This window comes from Homo sapiens, chromosome 14 (assembly GCF_000001405.40).
Source record: "Homo sapiens chromosome 14, GRCh38.p14 Primary Assembly".
Taxonomy (NCBI): Eukaryota; Metazoa; Chordata; class Mammalia; order Primates; family Hominidae; genus Homo; species Homo sapiens.
Window position 1 is genome coordinate 69,537,983 of NC_000014.9, and position 21,829 is coordinate 69,559,811.

The following is a 21,829-nucleotide window of genomic DNA, read 5'->3' on the forward strand; positions in this document are numbered from 1 at the left end:
CTGCTAAATTAGCCAACCAGTAGTGTTTGCCACAAAAGTGCTTAAGTATGGATTTACATTCACTCATCATTAATGATGTACTTCATAAAAAGTGAATACTGAGGCTATGTGTCATGACTCATGCCTGTAATCCCAGCACTTTGGGAGGGCGAGGCTCACTTGAGACCAGGAGTTCAAGAACAGCCTGCACAACATAGTGAGACTCCATTTCTACAAAAAAAAAAAAAAAAAAAAAGCAACTATTGAGCCTTGAGATATTTTCTCTGACAATATAATACATGTATAAGGGGAGTGATGCTGAAAACAGTTTTACTGTACAATAAAACACTTGGATAGCATTACCCTAACACTTGAAATTCATTCACTTCTTCCTTAAGAACAAAATCCCGGTTCACCCCTAAGGGAAAGGTGAACTCTATTTCAAGCTCGAGGGTAAATCCTGATTAGTTTAATCCAATCATGGCAATTTCACTTCTCTACCAGAGATTTCATTAGGAGTGGGCATGCGACCCAAGCTGGCCACTGAAATGAGAAGCCCACTGGAAGACTTCTGGGACAGATTTTCTCTCCTTAAAAAAGAGTCATGGGGCAGATACGATCCTTTTCTCTCTACTGGATATTTTATGTCTGAATATGACACTAGAACTAAGACAGCCAACTTGGGACCATGAGGGCAACTGGCTTGAGGACCAAGCCAGCATGTCTGGGATGGCCAAGCAGAAAAATGGCAAGAAGCCATAGTCCTTACTGAATTGCAGAGTCACTGAATTAGCCAACACTGTATCTGCCCAATTTCAGGGCTCCTTGTGATATGAACTAACTTATGTTTCCTTATAGTTTAGGCCATTTTGTTTTGCTTTTGTTTTTTGAGACAAGGTCTCACTCACATCTTGTGAAATGAGTATACAGATTACACTATCTAGTTTTAACAAGTTAACCCTCATAGACTGCATACATGGCTCTGAACATTTCCTGCAATAAAGCTGCAAGTCATACTATTAGCACAAGTATAAGCATACAACAAGGAAAAGAAGTGCTGACATTTTCCCCGCCCCTACAAGAGCTGTGTTAACTCTATTACAATAGGTAGGAACAACTATGATCTAATCAGACCTAACAAGGAGTTGGCCCCCTACTTTTGAAATAATTAAGAAATTATTCTTAATTATTGAATGCAGTGGCACAATCAGGGCTCACTGCAGCTTCGACCTCCCAGGCTCAGGCGATCCTCCCACTTCAGACTCCTGAGTAGCTAGGACTATAGGTGTATGCCACTACACCGGGCCAATGTTTTGTAACTTTTAGCCATGAGTCACCCAGGCTGGTCTTGAACTCCTGGACCCAAGTGATTCTCCCACCTTGGCCTCCCAAAGTGCTGGGATTATAGGCATGTACCACCGCACCCAGCCAGTTTAGGCCATTTCGATTGGGTTTTCTGTTCATTTGCAAATAAGAACAATTTAACCAGGCTGGGCCCGGTGGTTCATGCCTGTAATCCCAGCACTTTGGGGGGCCAAGGAGGGAGGATCACTTGAGCCTAGGACTTCAAGCCCAGCCTGTACAATATAGCAAGACCCTCATCTTAAAAACAACAACAAACAAAAGAACAGTCTAACCAACACAGTCACTTTAGCTTTATCAGAACTGTATGATCCTCAAAGTCTGAAGGCCTTTTCCCAAGGAAGTCAAAGCATTTTCCAGTCACCGAAAGGGAACTGGAATTTATCTACTCACTCATTCAACAAATATTTATTGAGAACCTACAACATATTTTTAAAAATTCTGTGATGCTTCCCCGCTGTCCTCACAACTTAAAAATCTCTGAAGTTGGGCTGTATCTTAAATTCTTGGCATCTTGCAATTGCTGTTGGCCATGCTGCAGTCTTGATGAGGTTATCATTCCCTGTGCAAACATCAAAAGTTCCAGCATTGGCTGGGAGCAGTGGCTCATGCCTAGAATCCCAGCACTATGGGAGGCTGAGGCCAGTGGATCACTTTGGGTCAGAAGTTTGAGACCAGCCTGGCCAACATGATGAAACTCTGTCTCTACCAAAAATACAAAAATTAGTTGGGTGTGGTGGTGTGCTCCTGTAATCCCAGCTACTTGAGAGGCTGAGGCACAAGAATCACTTGAGCCCAGGAGGCAGAAGTTGCAGTAAGCCAAGATTGCGCCACCGCACTCCAGCCTGGGCAACAGACCAAGGCTTGGCCTCAAAAAAAAAAAAAAAAGAAAAAAAAAATTCTAACGTCAGAACTTGCAGAATGTGTGTCAATAGCTTGGAGGAAAAAATCCACAAACAATCATGAAGCATGCTCTTAGCCCATAAGAATCAAATGGTGGTGTGGGGGAAGTGGTGAATTCGACATGTTTGGCAGCATTCATGATTATAGGAGTCAACAGCAAGCTAAATCCACAAAATTATGAAGCTGTTTTTTTTGTTATTGTTGTTGTTGGTTTGAGACAAAGCCTCACTCTGTTGCCCAGGCTGGAGTGTAGTGGCACAAACTTGGTTCACTACAACCTCCCCCTCTCTGTTTTGAGCGACTCTCATGCCTCAGCCTCCTGAGTTGCTGGGATTACAGGCACCCACTACCAAGCCCGGTTAATTTTTTTATTTTTATTTTTAGTAGAGACGGGGTTCACCTTGGCCAGGCTGGTCTCGAACTCCTGACCTCAGGTGATTTGCCTGCCTCAGCCTCCTAAAGTGCTGAGATTACAGGCATGAGCCACCATGCCCGGCCATGAAGCTGGTTTTAAGAACCCAGCACATATGACCCACCCTGAGTTCTTTTATGGATTCTTTTGAGAAACGTTTCATCACCAACACTCTTGATGCCACAGAGAATGACAGTGTGTGAAAAAAGATGGTCATTTTCAAGTCTGAGTCAAAAACAGAGGAGTCAGATTTGGAATGAGAAGAAATTCTAGAAATATCTTAGCCAACTTCTTTCACTTCTCTTTACTGTTTTATTATGCACAAAAGTGATTTATAATAGAAATCTACGGTGAACTGAATCTATAAAAGCTTTTCTCAATAAGTACAAAATAAAAATTCTAAGTGAAAGGAGAGTGTCATAGTTCAATTGGCAGCATTCTACTTTTTTATTGGCACATAAAATGACGATGTGCCTGGTACTTGCTGGTGTCGTAAGTTGGGTGATATATACCATGTGCCAAGCACTGCTCTGGTCCTAGATGCAGCAATAGAGACAATAGAGACAAAAACTCTGGTTGTTTGTGCAAGTTGACTGTGCAGAGCCCTTTATTACTTATTTTTTTGGAGACAGGGCTTCCCTCTGTCACCCAGCCTGCAGTGCAGTGACATGATGATAGCTCACTATAGCCTTGATCTCCTGGGCTCAAAGGATCGTCCAATCTCACCCTCCCATGTCGCTGGGATCACAGGTGCCCACCACCACACCTGGCTAATTTTTTTTTTTTTTTGAGACGGAGTCTTGCTGTGTCTCCTAGGTTGGAGTGCAGTAGCGTGATCTTGGCTCACTGCAACCTCCGCCTCCTGGGTTCAAGCGATTCTCCTGCCTCGGCCTCCAATGTAGCTGAGTTTACAGCATGTGCCACCATGCCCAGCTAATTTTTTGTATTTTTAATAGAGATGGGGTTTCGCCATGTTGGTCAGGCTGGTCTTGAACTCCTGACCTTAGATGATCCACTCACCTCGGCCTCCGAAAGTGCTGGGATTACAGGTGTGAGCCACCTCGCCCCGCCATTTTTTTTATTTTTAGTAGAGACAAGGTCTTGCTGTGTTGCCCATGCTGGTCTCGAACTCCTAAGCTCAAGCAATCCTCTGTCTGGGCCTCCCAAAGTGCTGAGATTACAGGCATGAGCCACCGCATCTGGCCCAGAGTCCTTTATATGTCATTTGAGGACCTATATAATAGCTACTTTTCCATCATCAACTGGTGGCTTCCAAGTTTGGCCTGGGGGCATATTCTCCAGTCACCCATAAGGATTCCCCCTTTCCATTGTGCCTGGAAGTGGCTCAGAGCACCTTTGTTTTCATGTAATTGGCTGAAACGTGGTCACATGGCCCCATGTGCTTGCAGGGGGAGTCTGGGAGGTATAGTTTGAGTGTCTAGGAAAAAGGGTGTTGATGAATATTATTGTGGATGAGGAGTCGATGGTCTGTGCTGCATACTGTAAGCAGCACTGTGCAGGCGGAGGAGAGTCCCAGCAGCCTAGGGCCTCTCCAAGAAAAGAAGACAAAAACCCCAACTTGCCTGTCCTGCCACAATCTCTTGAGATGCTGTCCTGAATATCAGGCACACCACCAAATAGGAAGATGTTCATGACTGGTGAACATTATTAACAGACCTGGTGACCCATAGGGCTAATGAAGTTAGTGGAACCTGTGGTGCTTATTCTAAATAATGAAACTCTCTACTTGAGAAATTTTTGGGCAGAGGAGATTTTCCAGGAGTGCCCAGAAACCCCATCATTTAGCACTGCTGATTCCACCCACTCTGTCTGCTCAGAGAGACTGGAGGTGGCTGGGTGGCTTTCTCAGTACAGTTCGTGCTAGTAACTCTAGATACAAGGCTACAGCCTCCAGGATACAGAACACAGCCATGGTGCAGAGGCACTGGAAGCCCTGTATATGAGTTTGGGCATCACCAATTACAAGCTATGACTTTGGCAAATTACTTAATATTTCTGAGCATTGGAGTCCTCATTTATAAATGTACATTTCTCAAATGTAAACGTGGTTTAATACTTGCCCTTATTACCCCACACATTGTTGAGAGGATGCAGAGCTGAAGTAGGGGAGACGTTTGTGAACCATCAAGCTTTATATAAACATACATTGTGACGATGAGAGCAGTGTCTGCACTTAGGAGGGGCTGCGCGAATCCTTGAATGAGTGATGGCGGTCTTGCTCATGCTCACTGCATCTGATTTGACCTTTGTAAGCCCCTTGTTTGAAAGCCTTTCCCCCTTCTTCCAAGCCCCTTTGGATGTGTGCATACACACGCACACGTACACTCACAGTGGAGCTTGTCTGTTTGGCATTAAGCATAAGGCCTGTAAGTCAGAGCTGAGGAGCTGAGATCTAATGCCCGTGGAGCACCCTCAGGACAGGGAGGAAAGCTGGGGGTCGTGGTTGCCCTCTCCCCGGTGTGGCGGCTGAATGCATTTTTCACTTGAAGTTCCAGAAGCCCACAAGTAGGAGCTGTGCTGCAGCACGCCGCTTTGTCCCCGTCCTTAGGACAGGTCTGTGGGCTGGTCCCTCTCCGCCTCTCCACCTCTCCTCACCATGAACCATTCGGCCACTCCTTGAGTCCCGTGACATATTCCTGACATTAAGCTGTCTCTTCTTGCTCCCCTAACAGCTCCTAGAGAGAAGAGACACCGTAAACATGATGTGTTCTCTCCATTTCAGAGCTATGAAAACGAAGGCATAGAGAGGAGAAGCGATTTCTTCAGATGGGGCCAAAGAGGTGGATGGGAACTAACTGAGAAGAATCCACTTGGAAATAGGACACTCTGGGGTTTCGCCATGTTAGCCAGGCTGTTCTCAAACTCCTGACCTCAATCTAGTGGCATCCAAAGCTGGGAAGGACTCTGAATCACGATATTAGCCATAATAGCCAGGGCCTCAGCGCCTAGAACTGGGGACTGGCTGCCACAGGGATGGCTGCTGTCTCTGCTTGCCTCTAGTTCTTTGTATGATGATGGCTTTGCTCTCTCCCACTGCAAACACCTGGACAAGAACACAGCCACTGGCAGGCCCAGCCTGGCTGGTAGGGAGAATACATGCTGAGGATAGATGCGGAGGTATGGGTGTGTATGAGGTGCAACCTGCCAGGACGAACTGTTGCATCACAGGGTGAGTCATGTTGAGGAACAGCGGCAGTAGCAGGACCACATCCTTTCTGGGATCCAGCTGCCGCTTCCTCAAGCCTGGGTCAGCAATGGTTGTCATGGCAACAGCCTGATGGGAAGGTCTCAAGGAAAACGCTGAGGCTGGAGTATTTTGAATCATATTTGCCTGTCAATGAGTCCCTCTCTTGCTAAGAACCAAAGAAAGAAAAGCCCGACTATGTGGGTCCATCTCACTCTGAGTAGGGAGGTCAGTAGGAGTACCTTGTGGTGTCAAGTTTGGGTTTCCCTCTCTCCCCTGAGGTTTCGGGGGGCAGGCTGGCACTAGCTTTTCCTGTTACCTGTTAACAAAGATGTATGTGCCTGTGCTTAACGTTTCTTCCCAAGGCATGAGGAAAAGCACACTGCCGTGAGGTACCTGGGACAAGTGTAGCCCCCTCTCCTAAGTGGTCTCCTTGTGGCCAGATTCTCCTTCAGCTGCTGCCCAAGTGATCTTTCAAACAAGTGAATCCCATCAGCTTGCTTCCCTGCTTAAATCCTTCAGCGGCTCCAGATTCCTGGTCAAATAGAGTTCAGTACCTGAGCTTGACAGTCCTCCTCCTCATCTCGCCTTCTCTGGACTCTGTGTTGCTGTCACTGTCCTCTGCTCACACTCCCTGCAAATCTCTATTCCCAGAGAGCTTCCTGCCTCTGTGTCTTTGTGCATATTGTGTGCTCGGAATGTCTTCCTGCTTCCACCAGAGAACCTTGTCTCCTTTAAATAAAATGTGTGACTCTCAGATGAGAATGGTGCCAGCCAAGTGACCTTGTCTCCAGTCTCCTGAGCCCTTTGTGTGCCTGAGGCCACAGCCAGGCCTGCTCAGCCCTTCTGTCCATCCCCTGGATGGACTTCCCCTTTAAAGATTAGCAGCTCTAAGATAAATTAAAACCCCTCTCCTTGCTTCCTTTTGCCTCTTTGAGAAGGATTCATTCCTTCATCTGACAAAGATTTAATGAATGGCCATTATGCACCAGAAACTTACTGTTCCAGGCACTTGGATACATTAGTGAACCAAACAGAAATCCCTGCCCTCATGAAGCTTATGTTCTGGCAGGGGAGATGGACGATACACAATGTATGTAAGAAAAAATATTATATAATATATATCTAAAGGCATTAAGAGCTATGGTAAATAGAAAAGGTAGAGCAAGGAAGGGAGTTTGGGAGCCCTAGGAAGAAGGGTGGGACAGGTGGCAATAGCATATAGAGTGGCAGGATCAGCCTTGTCTTAGTCAGCTAGAGCTGCCATAACAAATACCCCAGGCTGGGTGGCATAAGCAGCGGAAACATTTCTCATGATTCTGGAGGCTGGACATCCAAGATCAAGGTGCTATCGAGGCAGGTTTCATCCTGACGCCTCTTCTCCTGGCTTGCAGGTGGCTGCCATCTCGCTGTGGCATGATCTCGGCTCACTGCAACCTCCACCTCCTGGGTTCAAGCAATTCTCGTGGCTCAGCACCCCAAGTAGCTGGGATTGCAGGCATGCACCACCACACCCGGCTAATTTTTTGTATTTTTTTTTTTTTCTGAGATGGAGTCTCACTTTGTCGCCCAGGCTGGAGTGCAGTGGCGCAATCTCAGCTCACTGCAACCTCCGCCTCCCAGGTTCAAGTGATTCTCCTGCCTCAGCCCCCAGAGTAGCTGGGATTACATGTGCCCACCGCCATGTCTGGCTAATTTTTGTATTTTTAGTAGAGACAGTGTTTCACCATGTTGGCCAGGCAGGTCTCAAACTCCTGACCTCAAGTGATCTGCCCACCTCAGCATCCTGAAGTGCTAGGATTATAGGCGTGAGCCATCGTGCCCAGACTTCTTTTGAGTCTTTGATGAGCCTTTCACTGAATACATAATTTACATGAGGTGGGGGGGTGGGTGGGGCGGAGGGGTGGTAGAGGAGTAGTCCCTATGCCATGTCTAGCTCAGTGAATCTGCATTTTTACATCAGAGGAAGCAATCAGATATGCATGTGTCTCAAGTGAGCAGAGGGATGACTTAGAGTTCTGTCATTTGTCCCATGCCTGTGAAGATAGGTTATCCATTCACATTGTCCGGGTAAAATTCAGCAGATCCATTTCAGCGTAAAAATCTTGGGCCCCAGAATTTCCTAATGAGGAAATTGTGAGGGAGGTATGTAGCTTTTTTATCTTTGTAACTATCTTATCATTTAGGAATAAAATGGGAGGCAGGTTTGCCTGATGCAGTTCTCAGCTTGACTTTTCCCTTTGACGTGATTTGGGGGTTCTTGAGATTTGCTTTCTTTTCACAGTCTTCAACATAGGAATTTGGAGGGCAGACACAATTCAGTCCATACCAAGCCTCATTGAGAAGGTGAGATTTGAGCATAGAATTAAAGGAGGTGAGAATTAGAATATCTGGGAAGAGCACTCCAGGCAGTGGTGTGGCTACAGCAACGACCTTGGGGCAGGAATGTGCCCGGCATGTTGGAGGAACAGCAAAGAGTCCACTGTGGCTGCAGTGGGCAGAGCAAGGAGGACAATAGTGAGAGGTGAGGTTAGAGAAGCGATGGGACTTGGTCCTATAGGGCCTTGTAGACCACGTAAGGCCTTCGGCTTTTCCTCCAAGAGAAATGGGAGCCATCGCAGGGAGGTTGACCAGAGGGACCACATGATCGGCCTTATGTTCTAAATGACCACCCAGTACTGTATTGAGACTAGGCCATGGGAGTAAAGGTAGGAAACAGAAGGACCTGCTAGGAAACTTCTACAGAAATCCAGATAAGGAATGATGGTGGCTGAGACCATAGTGATAAGAATGGTGGCAGTGAGATGTCAGATTCTGTACATATGTGGAAGGTAATGTCCACAGAATTTCATAACAAATTGGACAAGGAGTGTGAAAGGAAGAGAGGAGTGAAAAATGACTCTTAAGATTCTGGCAGGGAAGAATGGAGTTGCCGTCAGTTGAGATGAGGAAGGCTGCCGGTAGAGCGGGTAGAGGTGAAAAGATCAGCTGTTTCAGTTTTGGACATGTTGAGTTTGAGATGTCTGCTAGACATCCAGGTGGATATATCAGGTAGGTAACTGGGTATATAAGCCTGGTTTGGAGAGAGACCCGGGATGCAGATAGAAATTTGGGAGTCATCCCATGCTGATGGTATTTAAACTATGAGAGCAGATGAGATCATCAAGGGAGTGAGAGAGGAGCCATGACAGTGGTCTAACCCTGGTGCACCCCAACAAGACCAGCTGCCATGGAGATTGAGAACAAGGCTGATTTGCTCAAAACCAGGGTGCCCAAGGAATGACAAAAGGGAGATGGATAATATAGACCAGGTACCGTGGGTCCCCAGAGACAAGTTTCTGCTCTCCCCATTGTTGACCTCCTTGCAAGGCCACATTTCCCAGCCTCTGCCCTAAGACTATCCTGCTGTGGCCCAGAGGTTCTCAATGCTAATTCGTGGCCTTTTAAAAAATAAGCATAAGGCCGGGCGTGGTGGCTCACGCCTATAATCTTAGCACTTTGGGAGGCTGAAGTGGGTGGATCACGAGGTCAGGAGTTCAAGACCAGCCTGGCCAAGATGGTGAAACCCTGTCTCTACTAAAAATACAAAAAATCAGCCGGGCGTGGTGCATGCGCCTTATAATTCCTGCTACCCCGGACGCTGAGGCAGAGAATTGCTTAAACCTGGAGGGTGGAGGTTGCAGTGGGCCGAGATCACCCCACTGCACTCCAGCCTGAGCGACAGAGCGAGACTCTGTCTCAAAAAATAATAAATAAATAAATAAATAAATAAGCATAAAAATGTGAGATTAGAGCTACAAGATCTGACTTTGATCATCCACGCCTGCGAGGTTTCCCTCCCTACCGCTCAACTCCGATGCACTCCTGAGGGGAGGGGAGGTGCTTTGCCTGGCCGCCCCTTCTCCTGGAATCCTGTCTCGGCCGCTTCCCCCACCCCTGTTCCCGGGCTTGTCTCAACCCCACCCAGTGGCTGCTGCTGTCTGCGCCCGAGGACCTCATCTCCTCGCAGAGGCTGGCTCCCCGCGCCCCGCATCCCACGCTGGGACACGCGTGTGGCCTTGCCAGGGTGGGCGAGACACGGCCGCCTTCCTTCACATCCAACGCCGGTGAGGCTCAGCACTCATTGTCTCACTGGCAGCACAGACAAAGCCTTGCGGGCTCCACGGGATAATCAACAGCGAGAACGCCCCCAGGGACCTCCGGAAAGAGACACCATTGGTTGCAGGCCTCCAGGTTCTCGTCTGCCTGGTGAGTGAGGTGGCACGCAGCGTCAGTCGTCTGCAGGAATTTGTGCTGGGGTAAATGCGCGCTTCGTGCAGACCGCAGAGCTGGAGGCGGAGGGCTGGGGTCCCTGGGCCGCGGGCGGGTTCCGCGTGCCCCTCCCTCGCCGCACCGCGCAGTCCCGCCAGGGGGCGCCAGGCACCGGCCCCCCGCTCTCTGTGCTCCCTGCGCAGGTCCAGCTGTGCTCCAAGATTATCTTCCTTCTATAGCTCACTAGATATTCTTATGCTCACAGGGGTGCCATCCCTCACTCCAGAGCCATCCACAGAATTCAAAAGCAGAATTAGAAAAATCCTTGCTCCACCAGCCTGGGCAACATAAGGAGATCTCTACAAAAAATGAAATGTAGTCCCAGCTACTCAGGAGGCTGAGGTAGGAGGATCACTGGAGCCCAGGAGTTCGAGGCTACAGTGAGCTATGATCGAGCTGTTGCACTCCAGCCTGGGCCACAGAGCGAGACCCGCCTCTAAAACAATAATAATAGTGAAAATTTAAAAAATAAATAACAAAGAAAAATCCTCACTCTTTAGCTATTGAATTTTGTGGCGGTGATTTCTTTGGAAACTGCCTCTTCCCACCCCCACTCCACCCACAAACAGGCTGAGCTACATCAGTACAGAGCCTGGCACTCCGGATGCTGGCGGAATTGATTCACTAGCATGAGCAGGAAGGTCCATTTGAAGGGATCACTCCAAAACAGCGGCTCACGACAAGGTGGGAGTGGAAGGGAATGTTCTCCTGGGAGTGGGTGGGGGTGGGGTGTCAGCATGTGGACCTGGTACAGCAGCGTTTGAAAATGCCTCCATCATTCTAATATAATTTAAAATAATAATTAGCCAGGTGTGGTGACTCGTGCCTGTAATCCTACTACTAGGGAGGCTGAGGTGGGAGGATTCCTTGAGCCCTGGAGTTCGACACCAGCCTGGGCAGCATAGCAAACCCCTGTCTCATATAAATAATAATAAGGATTATTATTCAATGTTTTTGTCATTCAAACCACAGGTAGTAAAGCTTGACAGAATTTTTGTGGGTGGGATGTGAGCTAAAAATGTTGAGAACCAGGACCTAGCAGATTGTCTGCTATAAGTTCCCTGGCTGTGGAGGATGGAGCCTCCCCTGAAGAGCAGTGTTGGTCCTTGGGACAGTGGCCGCAGTCCAGCCCATCACAGAAGGGAATGGTGCTCCCTGGGGCTGGAAGCCTGGGTCTGGGGTGGGGGGAGGTGGGGAGGAACTTGGAGATTCGGCTCACCGTCAGTCTTGTTAAGGAGGCCAATGTCTAAAGTAGGAACCACACCAGGTAAGCTGCGTTCTAACCTGCTCCTTGTTTTCCTGGCAGATTGGTTCATGCAGGACAGAAAAAGGAGAGATAAAAGACTGTCAGGAGAGTAACTGTTTGGTCCAAATGAGGACTCAGGACCCCCAGTGGACCCAGAGAGAAAGACGCTCTGGGTGGGAAGGGTGTGGGAGGCGATCACTATGCACTCGTGCTGGAGCAAAATGACACCAGGGGAGGTGGACCAGCACCCTCTAGGTTCATTCTTTTTATGAGGAAGACTTCTGGTCTCTTACTCTGTTCCTTGAATGGATTTACATCCCAGAAAGATGTGTGCTCTGTGCAAATGAAGGGGTGCTCTTCCACTGTAAAGAATGCATTGGCTTTCTGGACTGGGGGGCTGGCTGGCACAAGCCTTTCCCAGGATACAGCAGTTTCTGAAAGGGTTTTTGGAGCTGCAGAGTCAAGGACTGGGCTGGGAGTCTTGGTGACCCTACCAAGCACAGAGAGTGCCAGGCGCCCGATTGGAGAAAGCTGTGGGAGTCTTCTAGAACAATCGTACTAACTGCACACACCATCTGCATGAACCAATACCAGGTTGTATTGGTATTCGGCCATCTTGTGCTGTTTCCTCAGGGTGTCCCTAGAGTGTTTTGTTTTTGACTAGCATTTAAGCAGCCTGCAGGCAGGGACTGCATTTTATACACAGTGTGTGCCTCCCAGGAGCCAGGTGCAGCTGGGGTGTGTGACTGTGAGGCTCCTTGCTGTCCATGACATACTGTCACCCCCACTGCCTTAGCTTACTCCCCAGTCACCCCTTGAGGTAACAGGGCTGGTGCTTTTACAATTCTCATTTTAAAGATGAGGAAATAGGCTGGGTGTAGTGGCTCATGCCTGTAATCCCAGCCCTTTGGGAGGCCGAGGCAGGTGGATCATTTGAGGTCAGGAGTTCGAGATCAGCCTGACCAATATGGTGAAACCCTATCTGTACTAAAAACACAAAAAAATTACCAGAGTGTGGTGGTGCACGCCTGTAATCTCAGCTACTCGGGAGACTGAGGCCCGAGAATCGCTTAAACCCAGAGGTGGAGGTTGCAGTGAGCCGAGATCACACCAGTGCAATCCAGCCTGGGTGATAGAGTGAGATTCTGTTTCAAAAAAAAAAAAAAAAAAAAAAAAAAAAAAAGATGAGGAACTAGAGGTCAGTGAGTGCTGGCCTCAAGAGAACCTTGAAATCCCACTCTGCCTAGCCCTGACCACCCTTGTCTTCAATCCTTGAGGAACAGAATGATGCCAGGTGTAAGTCATTCAGGTATCTCCCCAGTACCTCTACCTGGGGAGGAGATAATGTTCTCGGCCTACATGGTGGGGAGGGTGACCACGGTGCGGGGTGAGGGGAAGGCTCTTCTGCCATGCCTTGGGACTTCCCTTTCTGTGTGAGTGTGAGGTAGGTGGATTGCGCCTACTCAGCATGGATTTTGCACAGAAAGTCTTGCTCGCTTTTCCTTGGTGTGATTTTTATTGAACTCACCTTTCCTTACTAAGGGAGTGTTAAGTTGGTTTGGGTTTCAGGAGAAAAGACACATAGCCTACTTAGGTGAGCCCCCCAGCCTACATTAAGGAATCTCTTACATGGGACAGCCTGGTCCACCCAGGCAAAAATTTTCAGTAATAAATAATTTGCATTTGCCCACCCTATGATGGGACAGGAGTGGAGGATACGGTTTCTGGCCAGATCCCATGATCCTGTCCTCATCCCTCAACATGCACTAGGGACCCTCCCATGCTCCCACTACCACAAAAGGCAGAATTGGGGCTGGAACATCTGACCCAAGTCCACACCTGTTTCCTCTCCTCTTCCGCATTTCTGAGTCTTAAAGCGATGCTGGGCCAAAGTGGGGGTGGTCCTTGGCCGTCCTGGGAGGAGCTTTGCACACTGGCTCTAAGTTCCTATTTCGGTTGATGGTTCTATAGTGGATGAGCTCCACACTCAATTCTTATACCCCTGCAGCTGCCATAGGAGGCAGGGTGACCTGTCACCAAGGCAGCTCCCACAACCTGGTCACAGCTCTTTCCTCAGGGCCTGTTACCCAGCATGAGCTAAAGTCCTTGGGAGCTTCTAAGACCACTTGAAGGAGGAAATTTATTCTGTGTCTTTCCTTCTCTCTTTCTCCCTCCCTCCCTGTCTTCTTTTATCTTTCCTTCCCTTCCTTTTTCCTCCCATCCATTCACTCAAATCTAGGCGATGCATCCCTGTAGTGTGCTAGCTATTGTTTCTCTAGGTGAAGAGGCATCAGAAACAGAATACTTCCCCTGAGTCAGGAGCAGCACTGAATTATTCATAGGCCAATGTATTGCAAGTTTTAGAGGGAATTTTCTTCAAGGTTGTGGCTGTGAGGCTGCAGAGTGAAAGGAGTAATGAATATGCCTAACACTCACAGAGGTGAGAAATGCTGCCTGGACTCACACAGCCCAGGGTCTCAGGCTCACGCAGCCCTGGGACAATCACAGTGAAGAGAAATGCCCTGAATAGAGAATCACACTGTCTTGGCCTTGGTGGATGGAACCCTAATCTCTCTGAACTCTTCAATCTGTGGGTTGATGGATTAAACACACATGTATTCAACATAAATGGATAGCTGGGTCTCCTCGAACTCTACACCTGTATGGAATCCATTTCCTCTTGTTCTGGACCATTTAGAAGGGCACGTGGGTAACTGGAGCTGTCTGACAGACATACTGGCTGGAGAAGCGGTGAGGTCCCCAATACTGAAATGGTTTGGGTTGGAAATGATGAGTAACCATCAGGCATGCTGTGGGAGGGGCTCCTGCTCTGGGTGGAGATGGGACTGGATGTCTGTGGATGATCAAAGCCATCTTGTTAATCAATTTGAGGGTCAAGATCATCCTCACATCTGAGTATCTTGAAAGGTTCCTCACAAATCTAAGATTCAACTACTAGGAATAATGGTCTCAAAGTAGAATCTGAACATGGATTCCCTTAGACTCAAAACTGGAATCTGAACTTGGATTCCCTTAGACTCACAACTGTTTGGCTTTGTCAGGTGTTGCTTCTTGGATTTGCCTCCTGACTGTTGCCAATCCCCTCCCTACCTCATAGTCTTCATTCATCCCCTGCAGTGCCCCACTGATGACACCATTCTGCCAGTGACGCCTGGATCTCCCATGGCATCGTAGGTAGCTTTACGGAGAGGAAGTGTAGCCTCATGGAGAAACCAGCAACTCTGGAGCAGGAGGACTTACTTAGATTAATATCTTGATTTCACCATTATGGCTGGGTGACTTTGGCCAAATCAACAAACCTCTCTGACCTTCACTGTCCTGTTCCACAAAATGAAAATAGTAACAACCATTTTTTATAGGATTGTGAGGCTTATGTGAAATAATGGAAATAAGGCACTTGGCCAGGCGTGGTGGCTCATGCCTGTAATCCCAGCACTTTGGGAGGCAGAGGCGGGCGGATCACCTGAGGTCAGGAGTTCAAGACCAGCCTGGCCAACATGGCAAAACTGCATCTCTACGAAAAATACAAAACTTAGCTGGGCATGGTGATGCGTGCCTGTAATCCCAGCTACTTGGGAGGCTGAGAGAGAAGAATTGCTTGAACCCAGGAGGCGGAGGTTGTAGTGAGTCAAGATCGCACCACTGCACTCCAGCCTGGGCAACAGAGCAAGATTCTGTCAAAAAAAAAAAAAAAAAAAGAAAGAAAAGAAAAGAAAAGAAAAGAAAGAAAGAAAGAAAAGAAGGCACTTGATATAATGCTTAGCACATCCCTCCCCAGCTTCATTGTTCTCTTGTGTCTCTTGCCCTTGACCATGCAATTCCATAGACCATTATTCCCCTCCTGGGACAGAGATTTCTAATTGCCCACTAGTGCCCATCTCCCCTTCTTCCCTCTTAGTTTTAGTTAGATACATGGCTACTTAGTTAGACACTATAGATTCCAGCCTCCCTTTCAGCCAGGAGTTGCCACATGACTAAGCTCTGGCCAGAGGAATGATGCAAGCAAAAGTGACGTGTGCAGCTTCTTCAAGAAGAAATTGTTTGCCTTCCATAATTTCCATCTTTCTTCCTGGAATGTGGGAGTGGTGCTGGTCTGTTAGCTTTGATCATGCAAATGAGGAAAACACCCTAGAAAATGGCAATGGGCCCCAGACAACCTCTTGACATGGGACTATCTTCCCAGCCTGGACCATTCACCTACCTATAGATTAGTATGCAAGAGAAAAGCCTCTTCTCAGCCTCTGCTCATTCTCCCACCTTGACTTAGATGTCACTTCACCATCTCTGACCCTCCAAGACCAGCGCTTCCTATGAGCCTTCACTCATGCCCTCATGTCTGCAAGCCCCACAAGACTAGGAGCACCATGAGGAAGGGACCATGGTCTCATCTGCGCAGGTTTTCTCAGGAACAGGAATACAGTAGGCACTTAGTAAATGTTGAATAAATCGATGATAGTGCCACACGCTTACAAACTGCCTTAGTTCTTGCCTAAAGGGATCGTAAGCACGTCCACCTGCTTAATCTCCAGCAAAAACAAAAGAACAATTCCCATTTTTTTTTTCTCCCTTCCTCCAAACACGCCCAGGGCTTTCTTCCATGACCAGTTGGCCAGAGCAGACCCTGGAAAGAAGCCTTCCCCAAGGGGCCTTGTTGACTATGGCCAAGGCCTGGCCCAGTGCTGGACACCAGTCTATGTGAGTATATTTCTGTAAGTCCATAGTTATTAGCAGAATCCCACCCCAGTGTGAGACCTGGTAGTATGTGACCAGGTCCATGAAGTGTAGTAGCAGTTGTCCCCACTAGACTATTTTTGCCTGGAAAACCTAGGCAAAAACAGAGGCTTTGGTTAAAAAAAAAACAGGGGTGGGGTGGGGAGAGGATTCACAGATCAAATGTAATTGGAAAAGGCATGCAAACTTTTTCAATTTATACACAGCTACAGAGGTCTATTTACAGATCTGGGATGGGGTTGGGCTTAATGGCTCATGCCTGTAATCCCAGCACTTTGGGTGGCTGAGGTGGGAGGATCGCTTGAGCCCAGAAAGTTGAGGCTGCAGTGAACCATAGTTGCACCACTGCACTCCAGCCTGGGTGACAGAGTGAGACCCTGTCTCAAAACAAACAAACAAACAAACAAACAAACAAACAAACAAACGAATCTGGGATGGAGCAGTCCTGGTGGACTTCTCTGGTCATTGTGTAGAAGGCGCTATGCAGCCTACAAGGACCAAGGTCTTGCAGCCAACTCTGAAAGCCAGGGCTCTGGCTCCCAGCCAGCCTTTCCTTGAAGACATTTCTTGAGCGCATTGCCCTTGGCAGCAGTTAGATGCTGCTGCTTTTTATTAGTGCTTCCTTCTGTTTTTCCAGGCCCTCTTTTGGGGTTCTTTCTGCAGACAGTGGCTTTCGTTTTAACCTGAGGGTTTAGAAGAGGACAGTGGGCTGGCCTCACCACCCATCAGCCTCTGCTTTGGGGACTGAATGCACAACGTCATCCACACTCCTAAACTGACCTCCAAATACACACAGTTGTGATCTCACTGCTCAGGAGGGCTGGAAACCATGGCAGCTCTCCTGAGGGCTCAGTGGGGCCAGCCACCCTCAGCTGGAGGTGTAAGCAGATTTTTTTTTTAATTGAGAAGGAGTCTCACTCTGTTGCCCAGGGTGGAGTGTAGTGGTGTGATCTCAGCTCACTGCAACCTCTGCCTCCCGAGTTCAAGCAATTCTCCTGCCTCAGCCTCCCAAGTAGCTGGGATTATAGGTGCCTGCCTAATCCCATGCCCAGCTAATTTTATTGTATTTTTAGTAGAGATGTGGTTTCACCATGTTAGCCAGGCTAGTTAGGAACTTCTGACCTCAAGTGATCTGCCCGCCTCGGCCTCCCAAAGTGCTGGGATTACAGGCGTGAGCCACCGTGCCCGGCCGTGTAAGCAGATTTTTGTGGGTGAAGTTTGCCCCAGAGCAGGAGCTCTCTGTCCTGTTGCCTAAGAAGAGTAAGACTGGTGCTTTTGAGAAAAAGCAAAGTGCCAACTCAGGGGGAGAAGCTTCAGACCTCCTATTTGACTCAGGCATGCCCTCTACTGCAACCAGGTAATTATGGTGGTTTAACTGTCCTTGATGGTAGAACCAGAAGCTCTCACATTTGCGGAGACCTTTGATAGTGGTGCTGTTCTCCGCAGTCCTGTCTTTGATGGGTCATCTCATATTTCCTCCCCAGTAGAGCACAGGGTGAGATGGGGCAGGAGGGGAGGTCACCTTCAAAGAGTCCCATCAAACAGGGGAATCTTGGGGGCCACTAATACCCTCTGCTTACATTAGCCAATGTTGATGCAAGGTTACCTTCAAAGTTCGTGTTCATCTTACTTAAACCTGTTCAGGTAACAAAGCCCTTGAAGTCTTGAATTTATGTGGTCTTAGACTTTAAAGTTCTTGAGAAAAAAATACCATAGGGGAAAATCTAAAAGTAAGACAGCTTTATGCTTTGACTTAATTTTGTCTGTGAATTGAAAAGGAACATGCCTTTATTCAGCTTTGGGAAGGAGGGACAACTCGGGAGCTTAATTAAATGTCACTGATCCCACCCTAGTGGACTGTTAGGCTTTGTGATCTGGGTTGAACATGGACACCCCCAGTCAGCCTCTCTGCATCCCTTCCAGAACATTCTTTCTGAGGGTGAAACTAGAAGTAATAGTTTAGCTTGTGGTTACCTTTATTTCAACATAGCTCAACTTTTAGAATCACCTACTTAAAAGTAATGATGAAATTAATAATAAAAGTTATTTGTTGCAGGGCATGGTGGCTCACACATCTAATCCCAGTGCTTTGGGTTTAGATGGTGGGCGGATCACCTGAGATCAGGAGTTTGAGACCAGCCTGGCCAACGTGGTGAAACTGTCTCTACTAAAAATACAAAAATTAGCTGGGTGAGGTGGCGCATGCTGTAATCCCAGCTACTCTGGAGATTGAGGCAGGAGAGTCACTTGAATCTGAAAGGCGGAGGTTGCAGTGAGCCAAGATCACACCACTGCCCTCCAGCCTGGGTGACAAGAACGAGACTCTGTCTCAAAAAAAAAGCTATTTATTGAGCACATAGTATGTGCCAGGCACTGTGCTATTTTCTCTGCATGCTTTTTCTCACTTAGTCCTCATGACAACCTGTGCAGTAGATACCGTTTTTTGTTGTTAAAAATTTTTTAGGGGTAGAGACTGGGTCTTGCTATGTTGCCCAGGCTGGTCTTGAACTCCTGGCCTCAAGCCACCCTCCTTGCCTTGGCCTCTCAAAGTGCTGAGATTACAGGAGTGAGCCACCACACCCAGCCTGGTAGGTATCATTATGGTCCCCACTTTACAGATGAGGAAAATGAGGCTCAGAGAAATTATGTGATTTGCCCAAGTTGACCAAAAGGCCAGGGTTTTCTGGATTTGATACAATTTTGCGAGAGGGCTGATTCTTAGTGAATGGGGAGAAACCAGCTTCTCCCACTTTGGGAAAGGTTGTGTCCTGCCATCCATGTCAGATGGTCCTAAAGAAACACTCACTAACCCTTGTTCTCATGTGTAGAGAAGGATCAGAACAGGAATTAGATAAAGAAAGACATAACAAAAGGGAGTGTCTGAATTTTTTCCTTTTGTCCAATGCAAGTCTGGTTTTGCAACTGAAAAATCCTAATCAATCTCAAAGTTAAAAACTCCAGAAATGTTATCTCCTGGTGACTTGTCTACAGCCTCTTCTACCAGGTACAATGATTTGGTAGGCTGGCTTCCCGAAGGCTGTCACCTGTGTAGTCACGCAGGGCCCTGAGTTTAGAAGGGCCCACCCTTGCTTTAATGTTCTGCTGTCCATTTGAAATTCTTAATAATTTTTAAATGAGAGACCATGCATTTTCATTTTGCCCTGGGCACTGCAAGTTCTGTAGCTGATCCTGCAATTTAGGAAACTAAAAATAATGCGATGTAACCTAGAATAGCTGCAGCCATGAGCTACTCCAGAACCAAAGCTGGGGTGCCTGGGGTCCTTCCCTTGTGTATTCTGTTTGTGTGGAGAGTAAGTGACCACACAAGGAGGTTGTCTATTCACTTGCCCTGCAGTGAGAACTGGTATTGACATCAGAGCAGGAGCTCGGCAATGAACCCATCAGAAGAGTCCAGCGGAATAGAGATGGTGGGAGCCCTAGGCCTATTTGAAAATCCCAGGAGAACAAGGACAGGTGGCTCAAGATTCCCTGAGTTTGGATTTGCTTGATGCCCTGACTGGTGGCAGAGGGTCTAATTTCAATGCATCTGACATTAATATATCCTTCTGATCCCAGGCGGGAGCTCAGAGCCTTCAGTACCCCATTTCGTTTAGTTTTGTTTTTGAGACAGGATCTTGCTCTGTTGCCCAGGCTGGAGTGGAGTGGCATAATCACGGCTCACTGTACCCTCAAACTCCTGGGCTGAAGCAATCTTCCTGCTTCAGCCTTCCGAGTAGCTAGGACTAGAGGTGCATCTCACCATGCCCAGCTAATTTTTTATTTTTGATAGAGATGAGGTCTCACTACTTTGCCTGGGCCGATCTTGAACTGCAGGCCTCATGTGATCCTCCTGCCTTGACCTTCCAAAGTGTAGGGATTACAAGAGTGAGCCATCATGCCTGGCAACATTTTTTTGTTTTTTTTTTTGAGGTGGAGTCTCACTCTGTCACCCAGGCTGGAGTGCAATGGCGCGATCTTAGCTCGCTGCAACCTCCGTCTCCCAGGTTCAAGCAATTCTCCTGCCTCGGCCTCCCGAGTAGCTGGGATTACAGGCGTGAGCCACCACACCCAGCTAATTTTTATTTTTAGTAGGGACGGGGTTTCACCATGTTGTCCAGGCTGGTCTCGAACTCCTGATCTCAGGTGATCTCCCTGCCTTGGCCTCCCAAAGTGCTGGGATTACAGGCGTGAGCCACCACACCCAGCTGCCTGGCAACATTTTGATTTATAAATAGTTTGTCCCATCACAAGACAATGGCAGCCCATTGAAAAACCCATGTCTTTCTTTGTTGGTGGTTTCTTATACTTTCTCTCTCCTCTCTCCTCTTTCCTTCCTTCCTTCTTTTTTTTTTTGAAACGGCGTCTTGCTCCGTCGCCAGGCTGGAGTGCAATGGTGCAATCTTGGCTCACTGCAACCTCCGCCTCCTGGGTTAAAGTGATTCTCCTGCCTCAGCCTCCCAAGTAGCTGGGATTACAGGCATGTGCCACCATGCCCGGCTAGTTTTTTGTATTTTTAGCAGAGATGGGGTTTCACCATGTTAGCCAGGATGGTCTGGAACTCCTGACCTTGTGATCCCCCCGCCTCAGCCTCCCAAAGTGCTGAGACTACAGGCATGAGACACCACGCCCGGCCCTTTCTTTCCTTCCCTTCCTTCTCCTCCCTCCCTCCCTTCCTTCCTTGCTTTTTCTTTCTTTATTCCTTCCTTCCTTCCTTTTTCTTTCTTTATTCCTTCCTTTCTTTCTTTTTCTTTCTTTATTCCTTCCTTCCTTCCTTTCTCTAATTTATTTATTTCTTTTCTTTCTTTCTTTCTTTTCCTTCTTTCTTTCTTTCTTTCCTTCCTTCCTTCTCTCTTTTCTTCTGTCTTTCTTTCTCTCTCTCTTTCTCTTCCTTTCCTTGCCTTGCCTTCTTTCCTTCCTTTCTTTCTTTTGAGATGGAGTCTTACTCTGTCACTCAGGCTGGAGTGCAGTGGTGCGATCTTGGCTTACTGCAACCTTCACTTCCCGGGTTGAAGCAATTCTCCCACCTCAGCCTCCTGAGTAGCTGGGATTACAGATGTGTGCCACCATGCTTGGCTAATTTTTGTATTTTTAGTAGTATTTAGATTTAGTTGTATTTGCCACGTTGGCCATGCTGGTCTCAAACTCCTGGCCTCAAGTGATCCGCACACCTCGGCCTCCCAAAGTGCTGGGATTACAGGCATGGGCCACCGCACCTGGCCAAAAGATCTTTCAAGGAGAAAGAAAGTCCAAGCTGCTCTGAACCATTTGGCTTCTGTGTTGTAATAAAGGTTTATAAATCATCATTGTTGGGCATCCATAGACATATATTCACTGCTTCCTTGGTCTACTTGGTCTCCTGACCGCTGTCCCAGAATTTGGGGTGTTAGCCCCCAGGCTGCCTTACTGCCAAAGCAGAATTCTGGCATCCCTGGCTGCTCTGTGCTGTTTCTATACTGTCTGCCCCCAGGGCCCCTCTCTGGCTGGCTCTGATCTGGCAGCCTGCTCATTGCTCTGCGTTGTCATGGAGAAGGTTTTAGAAACATATTGTTGAACTGTGGGTGTATTTCTGCCACCTGGTAACAAGTGGGTTTGTAGAAAAGCCACAATGGAGGAAAAGAAAGGGCTCTTGGAGGACAGAGCTAGTGCCAGGGAAGCCAGC

General features: G+C 47.8%; 1 annotated feature.

Annotated features, from left to right (window-relative positions):
- Positions 9,330-9,886: an enhancer, noted in NCBI's record as "H3K4me1 hESC enhancer chr14:70014029-70014585 (GRCh37/hg19 assembly coordinates)". NCBI's record gives its function as "activates a minimal SCP1, AML or CMV promoter by ChIP-STARR-seq in naive H9 embryonic stem cells {active_cell/tissue: H9 hESC(naive)}" and the evidence as "EXISTENCE:reporter gene assay evidence [ECO:0000049][PMID:30033119]".